We start from the raw sequence: 25,028 nt of genomic DNA, 5'->3' as shown, positions 1-25,028 counted from the left end.
TAGGATTTGGGAAGGTAATGGAAAATTACAGTCAAAGGGGGTTGTTCTCTGGTGGGCAGGGGTGGATCTCACAAAGTACATTCTCAAGAGTGGGGAGAATTACAAAGAACCTTCTTAAGGGTGGGGGAGATTACAAAGTACATTGATCAGTTAGGGTGGGGCAGGAACAAATCACAATGGTGGAATGTCATCAGTTAAGGCAGTTTTTATTTCTTTTGTGGATCTTCAGTTACTTCAGGCCATCTGGATGTATACGTGCAAGTCACAGGGGATGTGATGGCCTGGCCTGGGCTCAGAGGCCTGACATTCCTGCCTTCTTATATTAATAAGACAAATAAAACAAAATAGTGTTGAAGTGTTGGAGCGGCAAAAATTTTTGGGGGGTGGTGTGGAGAGAGAACGGGCGATGTTTCTCAGGGCTGCTTCAAGCGGGATTAGGGGCAGCGTGGGAACCTAGAGTGGGAGAGATTAAGCTGAAGGGAGGTCTTGTGGTAAGGGGTGATATTGTGGGGATGTTAGAAGAAACATTTGTCGTATAGAATGATTGGTGATGGCCTGGATATGGTTTTGGATGAATTGAGAAACTAAATGGAATAAGAGAGGGAGAAAAACAGGTATAAAAGGTCTAAGAATTGGGAGGACCTAGGACATCTGATTAGAGAGTGCCTAAGGAGATTCAGCATAGTCCTGCCAGCAAAGATTATTTATTTACTTCAAGAGTTTAGAGTGGCAGTTTGGGGATAGCACCAGGAGATATCAGCTGTGATGGCTTGGAGAAACAGTGTAAACCGGCAGTGTAAACAAGAGCAGGGCACGTATGAGTAGTTGAGAACGGTGAATAGGAGTATGACTAGACAAAAGATAGTAGGGATGACAAGTTTTTTGGGGGCACAGTCTCAGTTGGTCTGGTGTCAAATGAGACTGGGGCCTAATAAAAAGGAGCATCTACACAGGAGCTTAAATGGGCTGTACCTTGTAGAAGCGAAAGTGGTAAAAGTATTGTCCAGTCCTTTTTAAGTTGGTGGCTGAGCTTGGTGAGCTGTGTTTTTAAAAGACCTTTAGTCCGTTCTACTTTTCTTGAAGACGGAGGACCGTAAGGGATATAAAGGTTTCACTGAAACCTACTAAGAGCCTGAAAAACTGCTTGGCTGATTTGACTAATAAAGGCTGGTCTATTATCAGACTGTATAGAGGTGGGAAGGCTAAACTGAGGAATTATGTCTGACAGAAGGGAAGAAATGACTGCGGTGGCCTTCTCAGACCCTGTAGGAAAGGCCTTTACTTATTCAGTGAAAGTGTCTATTTGAACTAAGAGGTATTTTAGTTTCCTGACTCGGGCATGTTGAGTAAAGCTAATTTGCCAGTCCTGGGTGGGGGCAAATCCTCGAGCTTGATGTGTAGGGAAGGGAGGGGGCCTGAATAATCCCTGAGGAGTAGTAGAATAGCAGATGGAACACTGAGAAGTTATTTCCTTGAGGATAGATTTCCAGGATGGAAAGGAAATGAGAGGTTCTGAGAGGCGGGCTAGTGGCTTGTACTATAGCATAGCCTGCCTTTGCTGGTGTGTGGCGATTAGGCCTGGTGGAACTGCCGTCAATAAATCAAGCGTGATCAGGGTGAGGAACAGGAAAGAAGGAAATATGGGGAAATGGGGTGAATATCAGGTGGATCAGAGAGATACAGTCATGGGGGTCAGGTGTGGTATCAGGAATAATGTGGGAGGCCAGATTGAAGTCCGGGCCAGGAACGATGGTAATTGTGAGACTTAAAGAGTGAGTACAGCTGAAGGAGCCGGGGAGCAGAAAGTATATGCGTCAGGTATGAGGAAGAAAATAGATTTTGGGAAATGTAGAGAGTGAGTTGAGCATAGTTTGTGACTTTTAGGGCCTCTAACAGTATTAAAGCAGCGGCAGCCGCTGCACGCAGACATGAGGGCTAGGCTAAAACAGTAAGGTCAAGTTGTTTGGACAGAAAGGCTACACGGTGTGGTCCTGGCTCTTGTTTAAGAATTCTGACCGCACTAAGCATGCCTAGGAAGGAAAGGAGTTGTTCTTTTGTAAGGGATTGAGGTTTGGGAGATTAATCAGACACGATCAGCAGGGAGAGCACATGTGTTTTTATGAGAATTATGCCAAGATAGGTAACAGATGAGGACGAAATTTGGGCTTGACTGAAGTAATGGGGGCTGTCTGTGAAGCCTTGCGGCAGTACAGCCCAGGTAATTTGCTGAGCCTAATGGGTGTCAGGGTCAGTCTAAGTGAAGGCAAAGAGAGGCTGGGATGACGGGTGCAAAGGAATAGTAAAGAAAGCATGTTTGAGATCCAGAACAGAATAATGGGTAGTAGAGGAAGGTATTGAGGATAGGAGAGTATATGGGTTTGGCACCACGGGGTGGATAGGCAAAACAATTTGGTTGATAAGGCGCAGATTCTGAACTAACTTGTAAGCCTTGTCTGGTTTTAGGACAGGTAAAATGGGGGAATGGTAAGGAGAGTTTATAGGTTTTAGAAGCCCGTGCTGTAGCAGGCGAGTGATCACAGGCTTTAATCCTTTTAAATCGTGCTGTGGGATAGGATATTGGCATTGAGCGGGGTAAGGATGATTAGGTTTTAATGAGATGGTAAGGGGTGCGTGATCAGTTGCCAAGGAGGGAGTAGAGGTCTCTTATACTTGTGGGTTAAGGTGGGGGAATACAAGAGGAGGACGCAAAGGAGGCTTTGGATTGGGAAGAAGGGCAGCAATGAGATGCAGCTGTAGTCCAGGAATAGTCAGGGAAGCAGATAATTTGGTTAAAATATCTCGGTCTAATAAGGGAACTGGGCAGGTGGGGATAACTAAAAAAGAGTGCATAAAAGAGTATTGTCTAAGTTGGCACCAGAGTTGGGGAGTTTTAAGAGGTTTAGAAGCCTGTCTGTCAATACCCACAACAGTTATGGAGGCAAGGGAAACAGGCCCTTGAAAAGAAGGTAATGTGGAGTGGGTAGCCTCCGTATTGCTTAAGAAGGGGACGGGCTTACCTTCCGCTGTGAGAGTTACCGGAAGCTCGGCGTCCGTGATGGTCTATGGGGCTTCCGAGGCGATCGGGCAGCATCAGTCTTCAGCCGCTAAGCCGAGAAGGAGTCAGTCAGAGAGCCTCGGGCCAGAGTTCCAGGGGCTCTGGGAGTGGCTGCCAGGTGAGTTGAACAGTCCAATTTCCAGTGGGGTCCCGCACAGATGGGACACGGCTTAGGAGGAATCCTGGGCTGCGGGCATTCCTTGGCCTGGTGGTCAGATTTCTGGCACTTGTAGCAAGCTCCTGGGGGAGGAGGTTCTGGAGGAACACCTGGCCACTGCGGTTCAGGCGTTTGGAAGTTCTTGTGTGCTGGAGATGTGGCTGGGATTTGTCTCACAGTGGAGGCAAGGAATTGCAACTTTTTCCTATTATTGTACACCTTGAAGGAGAGGTTAATTCAATCCTGTTGTGGGGTTTGAGGGCCGGAATTTAATTTTTGGAGTTTTATTTAATGTCGGGAGCAGATTGGGTAATAAAATGTATATTGAGAATAAGACAGCCTTTTGACCTTTTAGGGTCTAGGGCTGTAAAGCGTCTCAGGGTTGCTGCCATGAACTGGGTTGGGTTTTTATATTTGATGAAAAAGAGCCTAAACGCTATCTGATTTGGGATAAAGAAAAAGGAGCATTAACCTTGACTATGCCTTCAGCTCCAGCCACCTTTTTAAGAGTAAATTGCTGGGCAGGTGGGGGAGGGCTAGTCACGGAATGAAAACCATAAGCAGGACCAGGTGTGAGGAGGGGAGGTGATAAAAGGATTATAGGGTGGAGGAGCGGAGGCTGAGGAAGAATTGGGACCTAGCTCGGCCTGGTGAGGAGGGGAGAGGTCAGATGGGTCTGTAGAAAAGGAAGATTAGAAAGAGTCAGTGATGCTTGGGGTTGGGACTGAGGGGACAGGCGGGAGGGAAAGAAGGAAGATTTGGGAGGAGTTGCCCTGGGCACAGCGACTAGGAAGGGACTGATGTGTAAAAGAATGCCGGGACGTCAGGCACCTCAGACCGTTTGCCTATTTTACGACAAGAATTATTTAGATCTTGCAGGATGGAAAAATTTAAAGTGCCATTTTCTGGCTATTTGGAACTACTGTTGAGTTTGTATTGGGGTCAAGCGGCATTGCAGAAGAAAATAAGGCATTTAGGTTTTAGGTCAGGTGTGAGTTGAAGAGGTTTTAAGTTCTTGAGCACACAGGCTAAGGGAGAAGGAGGAGGAATGGAGGGTGGAAGGTTGCCCATAGTGAAGGAAGCAAACCCAGAGAAAAGAGAGCATAGAGACCCGGAGGGAAGGGGTTTGGGGGTTCTTGCCCCCTAGAAAAGCGGGACTTGCCGCTAAGGGTGAAGGAGAAGGGGTTGAGGGGTACTTGCCCCTGCCCCAGGAAAGTGGGACTTGCCGCTGAGGGTGAAGGAGAAGGGGTTGAGGGGTACTTGCCCCTGCCCCAGGAAAGCGGGACTTGCCGCTGAGGGTGAAGGAGAAGGGGTTCACGGGTACTTGCCCCTTCCCCAGAAAAGCGGGACTAGCCGCTAAGGGTGAAGGACCAAGGCAGGCGTCCCTGCGTGGTCTGACACCCTTGAAACGTGGGTGTATAATCAGAGAGCGTCCCTGCAATGATTAAACACCAAGGGAAGGCTGCCTTCCCAGTCCGTGACCGGCGCCGGAGTTTTGGGTCCACGGATAAAACGTGTCTCTTTTGTCTCTACCAGAAAATGAAAGGAATTGAAATTAAGGGAGAGATTGAAGTGTGGCACCAAGATTGAAAGGAGAAAGAGGTTGAGGGATAGTGAGGGAGGTTGGAGAAGAGAGTCAAAAGAGGCCGCTTACCGGATTTGAAATTGGTGAGATGTTTCTTGGGCTGGTCGGTCTGAGGACCTGAGGTCATAGAGGTGGATCTTTCTCACGGAGCAAAGAGCAGGAGGACGGGGGATTGATCTCCCAAGGGAGGTCCCCCGATCCGAGTCACGGCACCACATTTCATGCGCGTCCGTGTGAAGAGACCACCAAACAGGCTTTGTGTGAGCAACATGGCTGTTTATTTCACCTGGGTGCAGGCGGGCTGAGTCCGAAAAGAGAGTCAGCGAAGGGAGTGGGGCCGTTTTATAGGATTTGGGAAGGTAATGGAAAATTACAGTCAAAGGGGGTTGTTCTCTGGTGGGCAGGGGTGGATCTCACAAAATACATTCTCAAGAGTGGGGAGAATTACAAAGAACCTTCTTAAGGGTGGGGGAGACTACAAAGTACATTGATCAGTTAGGGTGGGGCGGGAACAAATCACAATGGTGGAATGTCATCAGTTAAGGCTGTTTTTATTTCTTTTGTGGATCTTCAGTTACTTCAGGCCATCTGGATGTATACGTGCAAGTCACAGGGGATGTGATGGCCTGGCCTGGGCTCAGAGGCCTGACAGTTATCACCTGTATTTTACCATTTAGGATCCCACAGTGAGATACAAAAGAGATGGGGTTCCTGGGATTAGGTGTGACCAGTCCTGAGGTCTCCTACTATGCCGCAGGTGCTCTTCACATGCAGGTCATGAACCTCCCTTCAGGAGCCCCCAGGCTTCCCTCTTCCTGTGGCAGTTGCCAGCGGGATGCTCACTCATTGTGAACCAACCAGGTTCAGCACTGCTGTTTATTCTGTGAGTTCCTTGTTCCCTCTTCTGGTTGGATCCCTGTCTCCTGAATTCTCTCCCTTTATTTGCTGTCTGGTTTTGCTGGAGTGCATCCTCTAGTAGCTTCTCGAGAAAAGGTCAATGGGAGATTTATTTTTGAGATCTCATATGTCTGCAGATATATTTTTTTCTACCTTTTTTTATCCTTACACATGACTGGTAGTTTGGCTGCATATAGAATTCTAGGCTAAAAATCATTTGCCTTCAGAGTTTTGAAGGCATTGTTCCATCATCTTTTATTTTCATTGAAGTTGAACCTTTGTATGCGAACTGTTTTTTGTTTCTCCAAATGCTTATAAAATCCTTTTTGTCGTCTTTTTTATTTTATTTATTTATTTATTTGAGGCAGAATTTTGCTCTTGTTGCCCAGGCTGGAGTGCAGGGGTGCAATCTCAGCTCACCACAACCTCCACCTCCTGGGTTCAAGCGATTCTTCTGCCTCAGCCTCCCGAGTAGCTGGGATTACAGGCATTTGCCACCACGCCCGGCTAATTTTGTATTTTTAGTAGAGACAGGGTTTCTCCATGTTGGTCAATCTGGTCTCAAACTCCTGACCTCAGGTGATCCACCTGCCTTGGCCTCCCAAAGTGTTGGGATTACAGGTGTCAGCCACTGCGTCCAACCTTGTCTCCTTTTTTAAAAAAATTTTTTTGAGACAGGGTCTCACTCCACTGCCCTGTCTGGAGTGCAGTGGTGTGATCATAACTTACTGCAGCCTCAACCTCCTGGGCTCAGGTGATCCTCCTGCCTTAGCCTCCCTAGTAGCTGAGACTGCAGGCACACGCCACCACACCCAGCTAGTTTTTGTATTTTTTGTAGAGACAGGGTTTTGCCATGTTGCGCAGGCTGGTCCTGAACTCCTGGGATCAAGTGATCCTCCTGCCGTGGCCTCCCAAAGTGCTAGGATTATAGGTGTAAGCCACAGTGCCAGCCCTTTTTGTCTTCTGAAACTGCTTGTGTGTCTTAGTGTGAGTATGTCCATATACATATGTCATACTTTAAAATATAGATTCACGGAAAGTTGCAAAGACAGTACAGAGAGGTCCCATGTATCCTTTGTCCAATTTCCTCAGTAATTAGGTGTTTCATAACTATAGCACAATATCAAAATCAGCACATTGACATGAGTCTAATGTGTATATAGGTCTGTGCCATTTTATTGTACATGTATGTAACTGTCACAGCACTTGAGATGTAGAAATATTCTATCATCACAAAGATCTCCTTCGTGCTACCCTTTTATAGTCACAACAACCCCTAACACCCACCATCCCTAACCACTAATTTGCTATCTCTATACTTTTGTCAATTTGAAAATGTTATTGTTAAGGATTGAATTGTGTTCCTCCAAAAAATGGTATGTTGAACTCCTAACGCCCAGTATCTCAGAATGTGATCTTATTTGGAAAGAGGGTCTTTGCAGAGGTAGTCAAGTTGAAATGAGGTCATTAGGGTATCCTTATGAAAGGGGGAAAATTGGACCCAGAGACAGACACACGTAGAGGGAAGACTATGCAAAGTGACACACAGAGAACGCCACATGGAAAGTGGATGCTGCCACATGCCAGGGGACATCTGGGGCCACCAGAAGCTGGAAGAGGCAAGGAAGGACCTTCCTGAGCACCTTCTGAGGAAATGTGGCCCTGCCAACAGCTTAATTTCTGACTTCTAGCCTCAGAACAGGGAGACAATAAATTTCTGTCATTTTAAGCCCCCCCCCAGTTTATGGCGCTTCGTAGGAAACTGGTGTGGTTATATAAATGAAAACATCCAGCATGTGACCTTTTGAGACTGGCCTTCTCCCCCACTCCAGGATAATGGCCTTGCATGTAGTTTGGTCATGTTTCTTTATTTACTCTGCCTTTTAATTGACGTATTTAGACCATTATATTTAGAGTAAATGTTGATATATTAGAGCTTAAGTCTACCATTTTAATTTTTGTTTTCTGTCTGTTCCTTCTGTTTTTTTGTTTCTCTTGGTTTTTATTCCTGCTTTCTTGTGGGTTACTTGACCCATTTTTAGAATTCCATTTTGATTTATCTGTAGTATTTTTGAATTTATATCTCTTGGTATAGATTTTTAGTGGCACTCTGGATATTATATTTAACGCATAACATAACTTTTCGCAATCTCTTGGTATCAATATTTTACCAGTTTGAGTGAAATATAGAAACTTTACCTCCCTCCATACCCCTTTAGTTTCCCTAAATATTTCCTCTACATAGATTGATAACCACATGAGATGATGTTATACTTTTTGCTTCAACTGTCAAACATAACACATAACCTAGAAAACTCAAGGGTTGAAGGAAAGTGTATTTGTTTACCCGTGGTTCTACTTATTCCATTATCCTTTCTTCCTTTCTAATGTTCCAAGACTTCTTTTGTCATTTCCTTTCTGTTTCAAGAACTTCCTTTCGCCTTTCTTCTAGGATAAATCTGCTGAAAACAAATTCTTTTAGTTGTTCTTTGTCTCAGGGTGTTTTTATTTTTCCTTCATTCTGGAAGGATAGTCTTACTGGATATAGAATTGGTATAGAATGGGGTTGATTTCTTTTTTTTTTTTTTTTTTTTGAGAGAGTCTGGCTCTGTCACCCAGGCTGGAGTGTAGTGGCATGATGTTGGCTCACTGCAACGTCTGCCTCCTGGGTTCAAGTGATTCTCCTGCCTCAGCCTCCTGAGTAGCTGGGATTATGAGCATGCACCACCATGCCTGGCTAATTTTTGTATTTTTAGTAGAGACAGAATTTCACCATGTTAGCCAGGCTAGTGTCAAACTCCTGACCTCAGGTGATGCACGCACCTCGGCCTCCCAAAGTGCTGGGGTTACAGGTGTGAGCCACTGTGCCTGGCTGGATTTTTTTTTTTAACACTTGAAAAATGTTATACCACTTTCTTCTTACCACTACAGTTTCTGATGGGAAATCTGCTGTCATTCAAATTACTTTTTTTTCCCTATAAGTAAGGTGGCATTTATCTCTTGCAGCTTTCAAGATTTTCTTTCTTTGTCATTAATTTACAGAAGTTTGACTATGACATGTCTTGGTGTGGATTTCTTTGTGTTTATCTTATTTGGGGTTCTCTCAGCTCTTTGAATCTATAGGCTTATGTATTTTGCCAAATTTGAGAAAATTTTAGCCATTATTTATTGGAATACTTTTCAGCACCACCTTTTTTCTCCTCTCCTTCTGAAACTCCAATGACATGAATATTAGTTCTTTTGTTTTAGTCCCACAGGGCCCTGAAGTTCTGATTTTGATTTTTGTGTCTTTTTTCCCCTGTGTTGTTCAGATTGGGTAATTTCTTTTTTTCTTTCTATTTTCTTTTTTTTTTTTTATTTTTTTATTTTTTTTTTATTTTTTTTTTTAATTTATTTTTTTATTGATAATTCTTGGGTGTTTCTCACAGAGGGGGATTTGGCAGGGTCATGGGACAATAGTGGAGGGAAGGTCAGCAGATAAACAAGTGAACAAAGGTCTCTGGTTTTCCTAGGCAGAGGACCCTGCGGCCTTCCGCAGTGTTTGTGTCCCTGATTACTTGAGATTAGGGATTGGTGATGACTCTTAACGAGCATGCTGCCTTCAAGCATCTGTTTAACAAAGCACATCTTGCACCGCCCTTAATCCATTTAACCCTGAGTGGACACAGCACATGTTTCAGAGAGCACAGGGTTGGGGGTAAGGTCACAGATCAACAGGATCCCAAGGCAGAGGAATTTTTCTTAGTGCAGAACAAAATGAAAAGTCTCCCATGTCTACTTCTTTCTACACAGACACGGCAACCATCCGATTTCTCAATCTTTTCCCCACCTTTCCCGCCTTTCTATTCCACAAAGCCGCCATTGTCATCCTGGCCCGTTCTCAATGAGCTGTTGGGCACACCTCCCAGACGGGGTGGTGGCTGGGCAGAGGGGCTCCTCACTTCCCAGTAGGGGCGGCCGGGCAGAGGCGCCCCTCACCTCCTGGGCGGGGCGGCTGGCCGGGCGGGGGGCTGACCCCCCCACCTCCCTCCCGGATGGGGCGGCTGGCCGGTCGGGGGGCTGACCCCCCCACCTCCCTCCCGGACGGGGCGGCTGGCCAGGCAGAGGGGCTCCTCACTTCCCAGTAGGGGCGGCCGGGCAGAGGCGCCCCTCACCTCCCGGACGGGGCGGCTGGCCGGGCAGGGGGGCTGACCCCCCCCCACCTCCCTCCCGGACGGGGCGGCTGGCCGGGCGGGGGGGCTGACCCCCCCACCTCCCTCGCGGACGGGGCAGCTGGCCGGGCAGAGGGGCTCCTCACTTCCCAGTAGGGGCGGCCGGGCAGAGGCGCCCCTCACCTCCCGGACGGGGCGGCTGGCCGGGCAGGGGGGCTGACCCCCCCCACCTCCCTCCCGGACGGGGCGGCTGGCCGGGCAGGGGGGCTGACCCCCCCCACCTCCCTCCCGGACGGGGCGGCTGGCCGGGCGGGGGGCTGACCCCCCCACCTCCCTCGCGGACGGGGCGGCTGGCCGGGCAGAGGGGCTCCTCACTTCCCAGTAGGGGTGGCCGGGCAGAGGCGCCCCTCACCTCCCGGACGGGGCGGCTGGCCGGGCAGGGGGGCTGACCGCCCCACCTCCCTCCCGGACGGGGCGGCTGGCCGGGCGGGGGGCCGACACCCCCACCTCCCTCCCGGACGGGGCGGCTGGCCGGGCGGGGGGCCGACCCCCCCACCTCCCTCCCGGACGGGGCGGCTGGCCGGGCAGAGGGGCTCCTCTCTTCCCAGTAGGGGCGGCCGGGCAGAGGCGCCCCTCACCTCCCAGACGGGGCGGCTGGCCGGGCGGAGGGCTGACCCCCCCACCTCCCTCCCGGACGGGGCGGCTGGCCGGGCAGAGGGGCTCCTCACTTCCCAGTAGGGGCGGCCGGGCAGAGGCGCCCCTCACCTCCCGGACCGGGCGGCTGGCCGGGCGGGGGGCTGACCCCCCCACCTCCCTCCCGGATGGCACGGCTGGCCGGGCGGGGGGCTGACCCCCCACCTCCCTCCCGGATGGGGCGGCTGGCCGGGCGGGGGGCTGACCCCCCCTCACCTCCCTCCCGGACAGGGTGGCTGCCGGGCGGAGATGCTCCTCACTTCCCAGATGGGGTGGCTGCTGGGCGGAGAGGCTCCTCACTTCTCAGACGGGGCAGCTGCCGGGCGGAGGGGCTCCTCACTTCTCAGACGGGGTGGTTGCCAGGCAGAGGGTCTCCTCACTTCTCAGACGGGGCGGCCGGGCAGAGACGCTCCTCACCTCCCAGACGGGGTCTCGGCCGGGCAGAGGCGCTCCTCACATCCCAGATGGGGCGGTGGGGCAGAGGCGCTCCCCACATCTCAGACGATGGGCGGCCGGGCAGAGACGCTCCTCACTTCCTAGATGTGATGGCGGCTGGGAAGAGGCGCTCCTCACTTCCTAGATGGGATGGCGGCCGGGCGGAGACGCTCCTCACTTCCCAGACTGGGCGGCCGGGCAGAGGGGCTCCTCACATCCCAGACGATGGGCGGCCAGGCAGAGACACTCCTCACTTCCCAGACGGGGTGGCGGCCGGGCAGAGGCTGCAATCTCGGCACTTTGGGAGGCCAAGGCAGGCGGCTGGGAGGTGGAGGTTGTAGTGAGCCGAGATCACGCCACTGCACTCCAGCCTGGGCACCATTGAGCACTGAGTGAACGAGACTCCGTCTGCAATCCCGGCACCTCGGGAGGCCGAGGGTGGCGGATCACTCGCGGTTAGGGGCTGGAGACCGGCCCGGCCAACACAGCGAAACCCCGTCTCCACCAAAACCAGTCAGGCGTGGTGGCGCGTGCCTGCAATCGCAGGCACTCGGCAGGCTGAGGCAGGAGAATCAGGCAGGGAGGTTGCAGTGAGCCGAGATGGCAGCAGTACAGTCCAGCTTCGGCTCCGCATGAGAGGGAGACCGTGGGGAGAGGGAGACGGAGAGGGAGGGAGAGGGAGAGGGAGAGGGGGAGGGAGAGGGAGAGGGAGAGGGAGAGGGAGACCGTGTTGCTGCTTCTTAAGCGAGTGATTATCCCTCTTTCTTTTTATTTTCTTGAGACAGAGTCTTGCTCTGTCGCCCTGGCTGGAGTGCAGTGGCGTGATCTTGGCTCACTGCAAGCTCCGCCTCCTGGGTTCATGCCATTCTCCTCCCTCAGCCTCCTGAGTAGCTGGGACTACAGGCGCCCACCACCACGCCCGGCTAATTTTTTGTATTTTTAGTAGAGACTGGGTTTCACCGTGTTAGCCAGGCTGGTCTCGATCTCCTGACCTCGTGATCTACCCACCTCAGCCTCCCAAAGTGCTGGGATTACAGGCGTGAGCCACCGCGCCCGGCCCAGATTGGGTATTTCTATTTCTATTGTTTTGTCTTCAGGTTTACAGATTCTTTCCTCTGTACATTCCATTCTGCATTGAGTCCATCTATTGAGTTTTTTTATTGCAGTTATTGTATTTTTCAGTTCTAAGATTTCCATTTTTGTTTTGTTTTGCTTTTTGAGTTGGAGTCTTACTCTGTCGCCCAGTGCAATGGTGCCATCTTGGCCCACTGCAACCTCCGCATCCTGGGTTCAAGCAGTTCTCTGCCTCAGCTTCCCAAATAGCTGGGATTACAGGCACCTGTCAACATGCCTGGCTAATTTTTGTATTTTTAGTAGATATGGGGTTTCACTATCTTGGTCAGGCTGGTCTTGAACTCCTGATCTCGTGAGCCACCCCCTTGGCCTCCCAAAGTGCTGGATTTACAGGTGTGAGCCACCGCACCCGGCCTATTTACTTTCTTTTTAAGAGATGGGGTCTTGTCTTGCTCTGTCACCCAGGCTGGAGTACAATGGCACTATCATGGCTCACTGCAGCCTTGAACTCCTGAGCTCAAGTGACCCTGCCACCTCAGCCTCCCGAGCAGCTGGGACTAAAGGCATGCACCACCACACCTTGTTTATTCTTTATATCTCCTGTTTCTTTGCTGAGCAACTAATTTTTTCATTTGTTTCAAGCATGTTCATTACTGCTTCAGATTCCTTTTCAGATAATTCCAAGATCTGTATCATCTCAGTGTTGGTGTCTGTTCATTGGTTTTTCCCATTCAAGTTGATTTTTCTGGTATGACAGGTGATTTTTTAAAAATTCTATCTTGGATATATTGAGTATTACATTATGAGACTGTATCTTATTTGAATCTTACGTTTAAGCTGGGTGCTGGAGAATCACTTGAGCCCAGGAGTTTAAGACCAGCCTGGGCAACACAGTGTGATCCCTTCTTAATTTTTATTTTAATTAGCTAGATGTGGTGGCATACACCTGTAGCCCAGCTATTCAAGAGGCCGGGGTGGGAGGATGGCTTGAACCCAGGAGGCTGAGGCTGCAGTGAGCTATGATTGCACCACTGCACTCCAGCCTGGATGACAGAGACCCTGTCTCTCAAAAAAAAAAAAAAGAAGAAGAAGAAGAAAAGAAAGAAAAAAATTGTATGTGTAGCAGGCCTTCTCCAACACCAAACTGCATGTGTAGCAGGCCTGTGGAGGGGGAGATGAGAGAGTTACCATCTCAATACTGCCAGGTGAGACTCCAGGTTCCCCACTTGGCCACTGTACCCTGTGGGTAGGGATATCTTGTTACTGCTCTTGTGGACTTCACTGATACATGATGGGAGGCTTCATTTCCATTGAGGGTTGGGGAAAGTCCTGGCTCCCCACCAGGTCTTTTCTGACACTACCCCAGTGAGGTAAGGAGCACCAAGTTAAAGTCAGTGAGGGTAGAAGTCCAGGCTTCCCATGTAGCCTTTGTTTCTGGGGTGGGGCATGATTTTTTCCATGGTGTGTGTCTGGGGTAGGGAGGTTATTTGCCTAAAAGTTTGCTGTTCTGCTGAGTTGTCCCTTTCTTCGTCTTTGATATGGAGAAAGCAGACTTTTCTTGGGGTCCTTTCTGCCTACTCTCACTGGTATTTCTGGATACTGCCTTCTCCAGCACTCAGTCCGGAATATATGAGGCAAATAGAAGACCCAGGATCCCATGTTCCCTAAACACCTTTTCTGTACTTTTCAAAGTCTTTGTATTTTTTTTTTATATATACAACCTGCAGAGTTTTAAAGCTGTACTTAGTAGAACTAGAAGTGTGTCTATTCCATCTTGATCCAGAACAGGAACTCTGTAAGTGTATTTTTACCCGTGAAGCTGGGGATTCAGTGGGCCATTTCAACCTAGAAGCCCACATCCTTCAGCACCGGGAAATTGTCTTAAATTATTTCACTGATTATTTCTTCATTTTTTTCCCCCTTTCTTTTTGGGACTCTGTTAGCTAGATGCTGACTCTCCTGGGCTTTCCTTTTTTTTTTTTCTGAGATGGAGTCTCGCTCTGTCACCCAGGCTGGAGTGCAGTGGCACGATCTCAGCTCACTGCAACCTCTGCCTCCCAGATTCAAGCAATTCTCCTGCCTCAGCTTCCTGAACAGCTGGAATTACAGGTGCCTGGCACCACACCCAGCTATCTTCTACTTGTTTTTATTGTTCTTTCTCTCCTAATTGATCCTTTTTCTAGGAAATGTTCAGAAAAGAGTGAACAGAGTGGGCCTGAGACTACCGTCCTTAAAAAGTCCTGTTTGCAGAGTTGACCCAGGCTGGTATATGGGAACTTGCATTTTGAGAGGGTTCCCCGCACTCCCCGTTAAGAATGGCTCACTGTGCCTAAATGGCTTTTGCAAACAGTATCGTTTGTGCTGAATGCCTGCTTTCCCTTTGGGAGGCTGAGATTTTCATACATGCTAGGCAGGGGGTGCTATGTGACCAGGCCTCAGCAAAAGCCCTAGGCAGTGAGTCCCTCATGGGCTTCCCCAGTGGACAGCATTTCACACGTTGCTGCACTGCATCAGGGAGGAGTTGAGCACCCCCTGTGTGTATCCCCTGGGAGAGGACTTCAGCAGCTTGTGCCTGCCCCCTTTGTTGTTTGCTTTGTCTCTTTTGCTGTAATAAATCACAGACACAAGTGCGCTGCACCCATGCTGAGTTCTGTGAGTTCTCCTAGCGAATCACTGAACTTGAGGGTGTCGGGGGCCTGGGACACAGCACTTCCAGCTTGCTTCATGGGCACTGTCGTCACGTGTGTAGTCCGCTTCCTTTAGGTTGATCTTCCTGTTTGTTTCACTCCACCTTCCAGGTCAGACGTTTTCCTCCACTGTCTGTTAATCCCCTGGCCCACTGCTCATGGCTGAGAGAGCACAGACCTAAAAGGCGAGCTTTGGGTGCACGGTGGGCTTCTCAGCTCTGAGCTTCACCATCGGGTGATCTGAGTGGGGCGTTGGTGGGAACCCCTGGGTTCTACAGGGCTTTCCTAGTTCCCTGCCTGGGGGGTCAGGGTCTAGCCTGCTGCATTCTGAATGCCCACAGACAGAAAGGAGCTGGGAATTTGCACTAAGCAGTGAGCATTTGGTCACCTAATCTCCCTATTTGGGAACGGCACAGATGCCCTCAACTATCCCCTATTCCAGAGACCCTCTGTTATTTTTTTTAAAAAACAAATTTTTCTACAGTAAAATTGATGTTTATCTTTTGGTTTATAGGTCTATAAATTTAAAATTATGTATAGATCAGGCCAGGTGCAGTGGCTAACACCTGTAATCCCAGCATTTTGGGAGGCTGAGGCAGGTGGATCATTTCAGGTCAGGAGTTTCAGACCAGCCTGGCCAACATGGGGGAAACCCTGTCTCTACTAAAAACACAAAAATCAGCTGAGCGTGGTGGCACGTGCCTGTGATCCCAGCTCCTCAGGAGGCTGAAGCAGGAGAATTGCTTGAGCCTGGGAGGCAGAGGTTGCCGTGAGCCAAGATCGCGCCATTGCACTCCAGCCTGGGCTATGAGAGAGAAACTCTGTCTCAGAAAAATAAAATAAAATCACGTATAGATCAATATTATCACCACTACAGTTAGGATACAGTTCTGTTACCCCAAACCCCTCCTTTGTACTCGCCCTTCATAATCACTTTTGCTTCACACACATAACCTCTGACAGCCACTGATGTGTTCTTTATGACTATAGTTTTAACTCTGGAAGAATGTCATGTAAATGGGGCTCTGTGTTTTGCAGCATCATGCAGCTGTAACCTTTGATTCAGCAGATAACAATGTGCATGGCCTCTCCACTCAAGGTAATGCCTTTCAGATTCATTCAAGTGGCCGCATCTATCGGTAGTTCTTTCCTTTTCATTGCTGAGCAGTATTCCATCACAAGGGTGTACCACAGTTTGTTCGTGCACTCATCAAAGGACATTTAGGTTGCTTCTAGTTTTTGGTAATTATGAATAGAGCTGCTTAAAAACAGTGTACACATGTTTTTATAGGAACATAAGTTTTCAGTTCTTTAGGGTAAATGCCAACAAATGAAATTGCTAGGCTATATGTTAAGTATATGCCTGACTATGAAAAACTGCCCACCATTTTCCAGTGCGGCTGATCACTCTGCATTCTCATCAGCAGTGAACAAGGGTTCTAGTTGCTCCCTACCCTCTCCAGAATGTGGTATTGTCAGTATTTTAAGTTTAGCCAGTCTAAGAAGTTTGTATTGTTATCATATCATGGTTTTAATTTGTAGTTCCCTGACGGATAATGATGTTGAGCATCTTTTGATGTGTTTATTTGCCATTTTACATCCCATTTGGTGAAATTTCTGCTCAAATTTTTGCTCATTTTTCAGTTGGGTTGTTTACTGTCTTACTGCTGAGTTTTGGGAGTTTTAAAAAATATATATTCTAGGCTGGGCACGGTGGCTCACGCCTGTAATCCCAACACTTTGGGAGGCTAAGGCGGGCGGATCACTTGAGGTCAGGAGTTCAAGACCAGCCTGGCCAACATGGTGAAACCCCATCTCTTCTAAAAACACAAAAATTAGCCAGGCCTGGTGGCGCGTGCCTGTAATCCCAGCTACTCAGGAGGCTGAGGCAGGAGAATTGCTTGAACTGGGGAGGTGGTGGTTGCAGTGAGCTGAGATTGAGCCACTGTACTCTAGCCTGGGCAATGGAGCGAGAGCCTGTCTCAGGGAAAAAAAAAAAAAAATTCCGGGATGGGCACGGTGGCTCACGCCTGTTATCCTGGCAATTTGGGAGGCTGAGGCAGGAGGATCACTTGAGCTCAGGAGTTCAAGACCAGCCTGGGCAACATGGTAAAACTCTGTCTCTACAAAAAAAAAAAAAAAAAAAAAAAAAAAGGAAAGAAAAGAAAAATTAGTGGGGCATGGTAGCACACACCTGTAGTCCCAGCTACTAGGGAAGCTGAGGTGGGAGGATCAGCTGAGCCCAGGGAGGTTGGGGCTGCAGTGAGCCATGATTGCACTACTGCACTCCAGCCCGGGGCAACAGAGCAAGACCCTGTCTCACCATAAATATATATATATAATAAATGTGTGTTTACATACACATTCTGGATTTAAGTCTGTTGTTGGATATATTATTTGCTAATATTTTCTCCCAGTCTGTAGTTTGTCTTGTCATTCTCTTTTATTTTTAACCCAATCTGTGACAAGCACATCTTTTCATTCTCTTTACAGTGTCTTTTGCAGAGCAAAAATTTTAATTTTGATGAAGTCCAAATTATACATTTTTTTTCATGTATGCATTGTGTTTCTGTGTCACATCTAAGAACTCTTTGCCTAACCCCTGGTCAGAAGGATTTTTTTTTTCTGTTTTCTTCTCAATGCTTTAATAGTTTTATAGTTAACATTTATATCTTCGATCAATTTTTTTCTTTTTTGAGACAGAATCTCATTTGTTGTCCAGGTTGGTGTGCAGTGGTGCAGTTGTAGCTCGTTGAAACCTCAAACCTCCTGGCCTCAAGCAGTCCTCCTGCGTCAGCCTCCCAAAGTGCTGGGATTAAAGGTGTGAGCCACCACACCCAGCCTTTGATCAATTTTGAATGAATTTTTGTATATGGTGTGAGGTTTACGTTGAAGTTTCTTTCTTTTGCACTTTTGATAAACATAGATTAGCCATACTTGTGTGGATCTGTTTCCGGTTTCTCTTTTCTGATCCGTGGGTCTGTGTCTGTCCTTTCAGCAACACGACACTGTCTTGCTTATAGTAGCTTTGTAGTAAGTCGTAAAAATGGGTGAAGTGGTTCCTCCAACTTTAGTTTTCAACATTGTTTTAGCTCTTCCAGTTTCCTGGCTCTTCTATACAAATTTTAGAATCAGTTTATCAATATCTACAAAAAGTTGTGCTGGGATTTTGATTGGAATTGCATTACATTTGTAAACCTATAAACTGATTGGTTTGAGGAGAGTTGACATCTTTGCTATATTGTCTTCCAATCTATGTATATAGTACATCTCTCCATTTATTTACATCTTTTTTTTTTTTCATCAGTGCTTTGAAGTTTTCAGGACCCCCTATTTACATTTTGCATGGAGAGCAAACTAGTAGACTTCTGCCGAGCCACTGGGGGGACACCTAGGGATCTGATTGCTTCTTAAGGAACTTGCACCCAGTCCTCCCTGCTCCAGCCGTTCCTTTTTACTGCCAGTTCCAGAGATACTAGGTTTGCCATTCCCAAGTCTTTTGAGAGTTTTACAGAGAAAATCTGGTTGGTTCTCAGCTTCTCCATTGTGTGGTTGGTATTTGGCTTTCTCAACTGTGCCAAGCCAGTTACAAATAAATAGAAATACAATAGGTTTTACCTTGATTATATTCTTTCTTTTCTTAAACTTATATCCTTATTTTATATCTCTGATCATTCTAATATCTTATGCCTTGGTGCATCTGATTTCACTAGTAGTGCCTTTGTCTTTACGTGTTCTGTGATTTTTACCATGATCTCGTGTTCAATGGAACTTTCTTGATGGGAATTCTTTGAGGCCTAGGTTGAAAGTGACTATCTCCAGAGGTATTGTGTCTCTGCCCACTGCTCTGGGAGCACCGCCAATCCGGGATTATTTTAGAATAAATTCTCAGCTTCCGTGTAAAATAAATAGTGCCTTTAGATTACGAATTCAGACCACAGACTTGTGTAAGGCTTAATTTGTGATGATAAAATCTCAGCACCAAGGTCAAACCATGCAAATGTCCCTGCTTTCTGCCTCAGCATAGCTTGGCTCTTCCTTTCCACCCTGTTCTCCGTGCTCTCTGAGGCCCAGACCTCTCTGAGGCTGTCTCCTGCCCAGAGTGTCAGTTTTCAGCTTGGCACCTGTGGCTCTGCTAAAGGGGTCTGTGTCGACCCCCAGATATATATTTGGAAAACAGAGATTTCCTTTCTAAAAATCACTTCTCTGTACCTTTTCTGTGCCCAGCCTCGGGATAGGAACTAGAAGTACAGGTATGAAAAAGGACACATGGCCTATCTTCATGGCACTCACATTTTGGGAGGAAAATAAGTAACGAATGCTTTTTGAGTCCTTGTTTCATGCCAGTCGCCATCCTGGTGCGTTCACATGCATGATGTCTGCAGTCCTAGTAATGACCTTGCACAGTAGTGTCTCTTATGGATATTTTGTGGATGAGAAAACTTGGGCTACAGGGACAGGCAATGAGCCTGGCACTGGGATTTGAGCTCCTCATGCTGGGGCTGAGTGACTGTCCTTGTGGCTGGGTGACCTGCTGTGGCCCTGCTCTCTCGTAGAGGCTGTGCATGCCTGTGTACTGCAAGTACCAGTTCCATAAGACTCCAGTTCACAAGACCAAGGGGGAGCCCCATGGAACCCACGTTTATTTCCAGGACATCAACGTCATCTTCCTTGGGGCACTGCACCCCAGTGACCTAAGGGAATACCTGGAGGGCCCCCCCATGGTGGTGGAAGTTCACGACCGGGACCGCAAGTCAGAGGAGTGTTCTCAGAAGCCCGTGCTGTTTGGGGAGGACCCTCTGGATTCATACCTCAACTTCCAGGCCCTCATCTCTCCCAGAGAGACAGAGAACAACCCCTTTGAGTCCCAGAACAAGATGTGGTACCCTTATGGCATCGCCCAGGTCAGTTTTGCTGACCTCCTCCTTGGCCACAAGTACTTGAATCTGGCCGTCCCCATCCACAGCTGTGAGGTTCAGCCCACACACTGCGGCCAGGACAGCAGGAGAAGGAAGGTTGTGGGGCTTGGGGTCCCCAGAGATGGCCACCAGCACGGCCCAATGCCCAGGGGCAACTACCTAGAGGCTGACTCCCAGCTCAAGTTGCGAGTGGACATCGCGGTGCCACTGAGGGCCGGGGCCAGAGCTGCTGATCCTGACCTTGGGGGCTCCCAGTTTGGCCGCATCATCTTCGTCTTTGACTTTAAGAAGGTCTCCCTGCTCCACAGCCTGCTGCAGGACATCACCATGATCAACGCTAAGGCCCTCGGCCTGGACTCCTACCCTGTCAGGACCCTGCAGCAGATCCTGTCAGCCTTCAAGGTGCGTGTGCGGGTCCAGGAGCAGCAGCACCTGGATGTGCTCACTGGCTTCCACCTGCTGGACGGGAAGACACACCTTTTCATCCTGGAAGGCCTGGCCGACCAAGGCTTGAGGCAGCTGTGGGAGAACCACCAAAGCTGGTAGGTGGTTTGTTTTACATTTTACATAAAAATGATGGCATCTGGATGCCGAGGGAGTGGAGAGGTCTTTCAGAGCCAAGCCTAGGTTTAGCATCCTTGTCTGTGAGTCTCCTTTCGGGGTTCATTGTGAGGTACTTACCAGGGTTTAGTCATTGGACTTGAAGACTCGATTGGCTTTGGTTCCAGGGAGGAATTCGGGAGTATCTAAGATGACTGAGGGGTCCAGGAGAGTGGGGCCTGTCTTCAGGGTTCTGAGCCAAGGGCTACTGTGGCTAAACAGGAGCAGAATATTCTGTATTAGATTTCACCTTGCCCCAGGGAAGATCATTTTGAAGATGGAGGGGCTGCTTAGGCTGCAGGAAATTGCCCTTCCCTGAAGGCCTTCAGGGTACCTGGGGGCCACTCAGTGGGAACACTAGAAGTGAATAATTAAAGTGTCCAATTCTGGGCTGCAGCGGGTAGCCCTTTGCAGTTCCTCCATTTTTTAGTTTTGGTGACATGACACCTCTCCCTTCCTTTCACAATTTGCAAGTATACTAGTTTGGGTAGATCGGATCTCCGTCCTTTAGTCTGGAGGGCCCCCATCTGTCCTCAGAGTTCAGATGCCCCAGGACCCACTTGGATGCAGTGGGGAGTCCCGGAGTTGAGGCTGTCTGCCCAGAAGGGGATTGCACCTCTGGGAGACCTGCCTTCCTGTGCTGATGGGCCCAGAGGCACCGGGAGAAGCTGGCCTTGTATCTATTATAAGCCCAGGAGAAGTGAAAACATATGTCCACACAAGAGCTTGTACACACATGTTCACAGCAGCATTATGTATAATAGTCAAAAAGTGAAAACAGGCCAGGTGCAGTAGCTCACGCCTGTAATCCCAGCACTTTGGGAGGCTAAGGTGATCCTGGAATCACTTGAGCCCAGGAGTTCAAGACCAGCCTGGGCAACATAGTGATACCTTGTTACTACAAAAAATACAAAAATTAGCCAAGCATGGTGGCTCATGCCTGTAATCACAGCTACTTGGGTGGCCAAGGTGGGAGAATCACTTGAGCCCAGGAGGCGGAGGTTGCAGTGAGCCAGTATCACGCCACTGAATTCCAGCCTGGACAACAGAGCCAGACCCTGTCTCAAATTAAAAAAAAAAAAAAAAAAAAAACGGGGGAAATAACCCAAATGTTTATCAACTGATAAACAAAAGATAATAAGTCCATAGAATAATTGAGCCATAAAAGGAAATGAAAGCCAGGCACGGTGGCTCACACCTGTTATCCCAGCACTTTGGGAGGCTGAGGCGGGAGGATTGCCTGAGGTCAGGAGTTCGGGACCAGTCTGGCCAACATGGTGAAACCCTGTCTCTACTAAAAATAGAAAAACTTACCCAGGCATGGTGGCACGTGCCTGTAATCCCAGCTACTCGGGAGACTGAGGCAGGAGAATTCCTTGAACCCTGGAGAGGGAGGTTGCGGTGAGCCGAGATCGTGCCACTGCACTCCAGCCTGGGAAACAAGAGCGAAACTCCGTCTCAAGAAAAAAAAAAAAGAAATGAAATACTGATACACATATCTCAACCTTGAAACATTATGCTAAGTCAAAGAAGCCAGACACAAAATGGCACATATTGTATGATTCTGTGTTTGTGAAATGTCCCGAACCGGCAAATCCATAGAGATAGGTAGGCCGGTGGTTGCCAGGGATAACCACTCGGGAGGGCAAGAGAGAAGCGGGGAGCCACTGCCAGTGGGCACAGAGTTGCCTTTAGGGATGTGGAGGATGTTCTAGAACTAGATAGTGTTTATGGCTGCACAACATTGTGAATGTAGTCTAAACCACTCATTCATGCGCTTTAAAAGGTTGAGTTTTGCCGGGCACAGTGGCTCACGCCTGGAATCCCAGCACTTTGGGAGGATGAGGCAGGCAGATCACGAGGTCAGGAGATCAAGACCAGCCTGACCAACAAGTGAAACCCCATCTCTACTAAAAATACAAAAATGAGCCAGGCTGTGGTGGCGTGTGCCTGTAATCCCAGCTACTCAGGAGGCTGAGGCAGGAGAATCGCTTGAACCCAGGAGGTGGAGGTTGCAGTGAGTGAGATCGCGCCACTGCACTCCAGCCTGGGTGACAGAGCTAGACTCCGTCTCAAAAAAAAAAAAAAAAAAAAAAGGTTGAGTTTTGTTCAAGACCAGCTTTGCCAACACGGTGAAACCCCATCTCTACTAAATACACAAAAATTAGCCAGGCGTGGTGGCAGGCACCTGTAATCCCAGCTACTTGGGAACTTGGGAGGCTGAGGCAGGAGAATTGCTTGAACCCGTGGGCGGAGGTTGCAGTGAGCCGAGATCATGCCACTGCACTCCAGCCTGGGTGGCAGAGCAAGATTCCATCTCAAAAAAAAAAAAAGATTGAGTTTTGTGGTGTGTAGCAAAGAATGTGGCCTGGCCCAGGAGCAGTCTGGGCTCTGCCCTTGGCTCCTGGGAGGCGATCTGAGTCACACCTAATAGGAGTGTCTTTGTTCAGGGAGGGGACTGGTCACACCTGACAGTCACAGGATGGAGGCTGACCTTCCAGAAAGACCAACCAGGTGCTTCGGGATGGGGGCTTTGGGTCATGCAGAATCAGGAGACTGAGTTCAGCCATGTAGGCGGTCAGCCAGCCTGCCATACCTGTGCAGTGGAGCCCCCTGGAAACTGTGGCCGCCAGGGCTGGGGCGAGCTGCCTGGCTGCAGTGTGCTTGCATGCCGCCACTCACCAGTGCTAGGAGGGTAGCACATCTGGCTCCACGAGAAGACAGTAGAAGCTTTGTGTCTGGAGCCATCGTGGACTCTGCTCCATGTGTTTGTTCCCTTGGCGGATTTTAGTCTGTATTCTTTCCCTGTAATACAACTGTAACTGTGAGTGTAGAACTCATTTTCAGTAAGTTCTGTGAGCCCTTCTAGTGCATTATCAAACCAGAGGGCGGTCTCAGAAACCTTCTGAACTTGCAGTTGGCGTCAGAAGTAAGGGCGGTCTTGGGGACTGTGCCCTCAAACTTTGTGGTTTGGCTAATGCTGGGCAGATAGTATATGAATTATATCTCAAAAGCTTTTTCCAGTGGCAGAAATATCATGAAGCATGCTCATTGAACCCAGTTGAATTAGGCTAGAAATAAAACACAAATCATTAACCAGAAAAAAGTTCATATGCAGGGAAATTAATAACCATACTTCCAAATAACTTGTGGGTCAAAAAGAAATCATAATGGAAATTAGACATTTTTGAACTGAACAATAATGAAAATAATATATTATCTAAATTTGCAGGGTGGGCCGGGCACAGTGGCTCATGTCTGTAATCCCAACACTTTGGGAGGCCAAGGTGGGCGGATCGCCTGAGGTCAGGAGTTTGAGACCAGCCTGGCCAACATGGTGAAACCCCATCTCTACTAAAAATACAAAAATTAGCTGGGCGTGGTGGCACATGCTTGTATTCCCAGCTACTTGGGAGGCTGAGGCAGGAGAATCGCCTGAACCCAGGAGGCAGAGATTGCAGTGAGCCAAGATCATGCCACTGCACTCCAATCTGGACAACAGAGTGAGACTCTGTCTCAAAATAAATAAATAAATAAAAATTTGCAGAGTGATATTGAAGCATTAGTCAGAAGAAAATGTATAACCTTAAAATGCTTATTTGGAAATGAAAAATGCCTGAAAATTATTGAGACATAACTATAGTTGTTGCAGACATTGATATGTGTTTCAAATTATGCCAATATATTTAAAAAATTATAAGAAATTTAAAAAATACCAAAAGTATGTTCAGATAAGATTATTTAATGTGGTATCGAATATAAAAATTAGTATAAAAATCTATCAAATTTTGAATACCATCTACCTACAAAAACTAATTTTTAAAAATTGGAACACATTTAAAGTAAAATGTATGAAATTCATAGGACTAAATTTGACAAAAAGATGTGAAAGACATCCATCATGAATATTATAGAACTTCAGGAAACATTAAGGAAGACATAAATAAGTGGAGAGAGATACCATGTTCATGAATTTGAAGACTCAATATTCTAAAGGCTCAGTTATCTTCAAATTTGAACTATAGATTCAGTGCACTTCCAGTTTTAAAAATCCCAACAGCTTTTAAAGTATGGACATTGATTTTAAAATTTTAAACTTCCGCATGTTAATAAAGGTTCATACTTTTTTTTTTCATCAAAGTCCATACTTTAAAAGCTGTTGGAATTTTAAACCCTTTACAGCAACATGTAAAGGTCTTTTTTAAAGAAGATACCCTTGAATAAGAACAAGATAGAAGAACTTGCTGTACTAGATATCAAGACTCATGATAAAACTATAGTCATTAAGATAGTGTGGTATTGGTTCAGAGATAGACAAGCAGACCTATGGAATATAATAGAGAATCCAGAAACAGACCTACACATAAGTGTTCATTTGACATATGACATATGTGATATTGCAAAATTGGTGGGGAATAAATACACTAAAAAACACTGAATTTTCTACTTCAAAAGAATGAATCTTACACAATGGGATGCTATTTCATACTCATTAGGATGGGTAGAAACCAAAAGTCCAATAATGACAAGTGTTGGCAAGGATGTGGAGAAATCAGAAGTGTCCTCTGCTGGGAGGAATGTAGGTGCAGCCACTTTGGAAAACATTCTGGCAGTTCCTCAAGTGATTAAACACAGAGTTCCCATATGACCCAGGAATATCACTCCTAGATCTGTGCCCAAGAAAATGAAAACATGTATCCACACTAATGTGTGGATTATCGCCAATTAGTGTACTAAACTTTGTACACTCATGTTTATAACAGCATTATTCATAA

At 47.8% G+C, this 25,028-nt stretch overlaps 1 protein-coding gene across 9 annotated transcripts in view, besides 1 other annotated feature; it reads left to right on the top strand.

Annotated features, from left to right (window-relative positions):
- The window catches only part of CFAP92 (cilia and flagella associated protein 92 (putative)), a 116,876-nt gene that overhangs the window by 61,483 nt on the left and 30,365 nt on the right, over positions 1 to 25,028 (top strand). For 7 of the 9 annotated variants that reach the window (XM_011513050.3, XM_047448638.1, NM_001348520.2 and 4 more), the window contains one exon: positions 19,291 to 20,195. In XM_011513050.3, coding sequence (XP_011511352.2) covers positions 19,291 to 20,195 — 905 coding nt within the window. The remainder of the gene's footprint in view (positions 1 to 19,290; positions 20,196 to 25,028) is intronic. The other 2 variants (XM_017006945.2, NM_001348521.2) reach the window with 1 other exon arrangement.
- Positions 135 to 1,129: an enhancer, noted in NCBI's record as "H3K27ac hESC enhancer chr3:128682980-128683974 (GRCh37/hg19 assembly coordinates)". NCBI's record gives its function as "activates a minimal SCP1, AML or CMV promoter by ChIP-STARR-seq in naive H9 embryonic stem cells {active_cell/tissue: H9 hESC(naive)}" and the evidence as "EXISTENCE:reporter gene assay evidence [ECO:0000049][PMID:30033119]".

The sequence above is a fragment of the Homo sapiens genome, chromosome 3 (genome assembly GCF_000001405.40).
Source record: "Homo sapiens chromosome 3, GRCh38.p14 Primary Assembly".
Lineage (NCBI taxonomy): Eukaryota > Metazoa > Chordata > Mammalia > Primates > Hominidae > Homo > Homo sapiens.
This window is presented reverse-complemented; position numbering and strand designations above follow the sequence as displayed.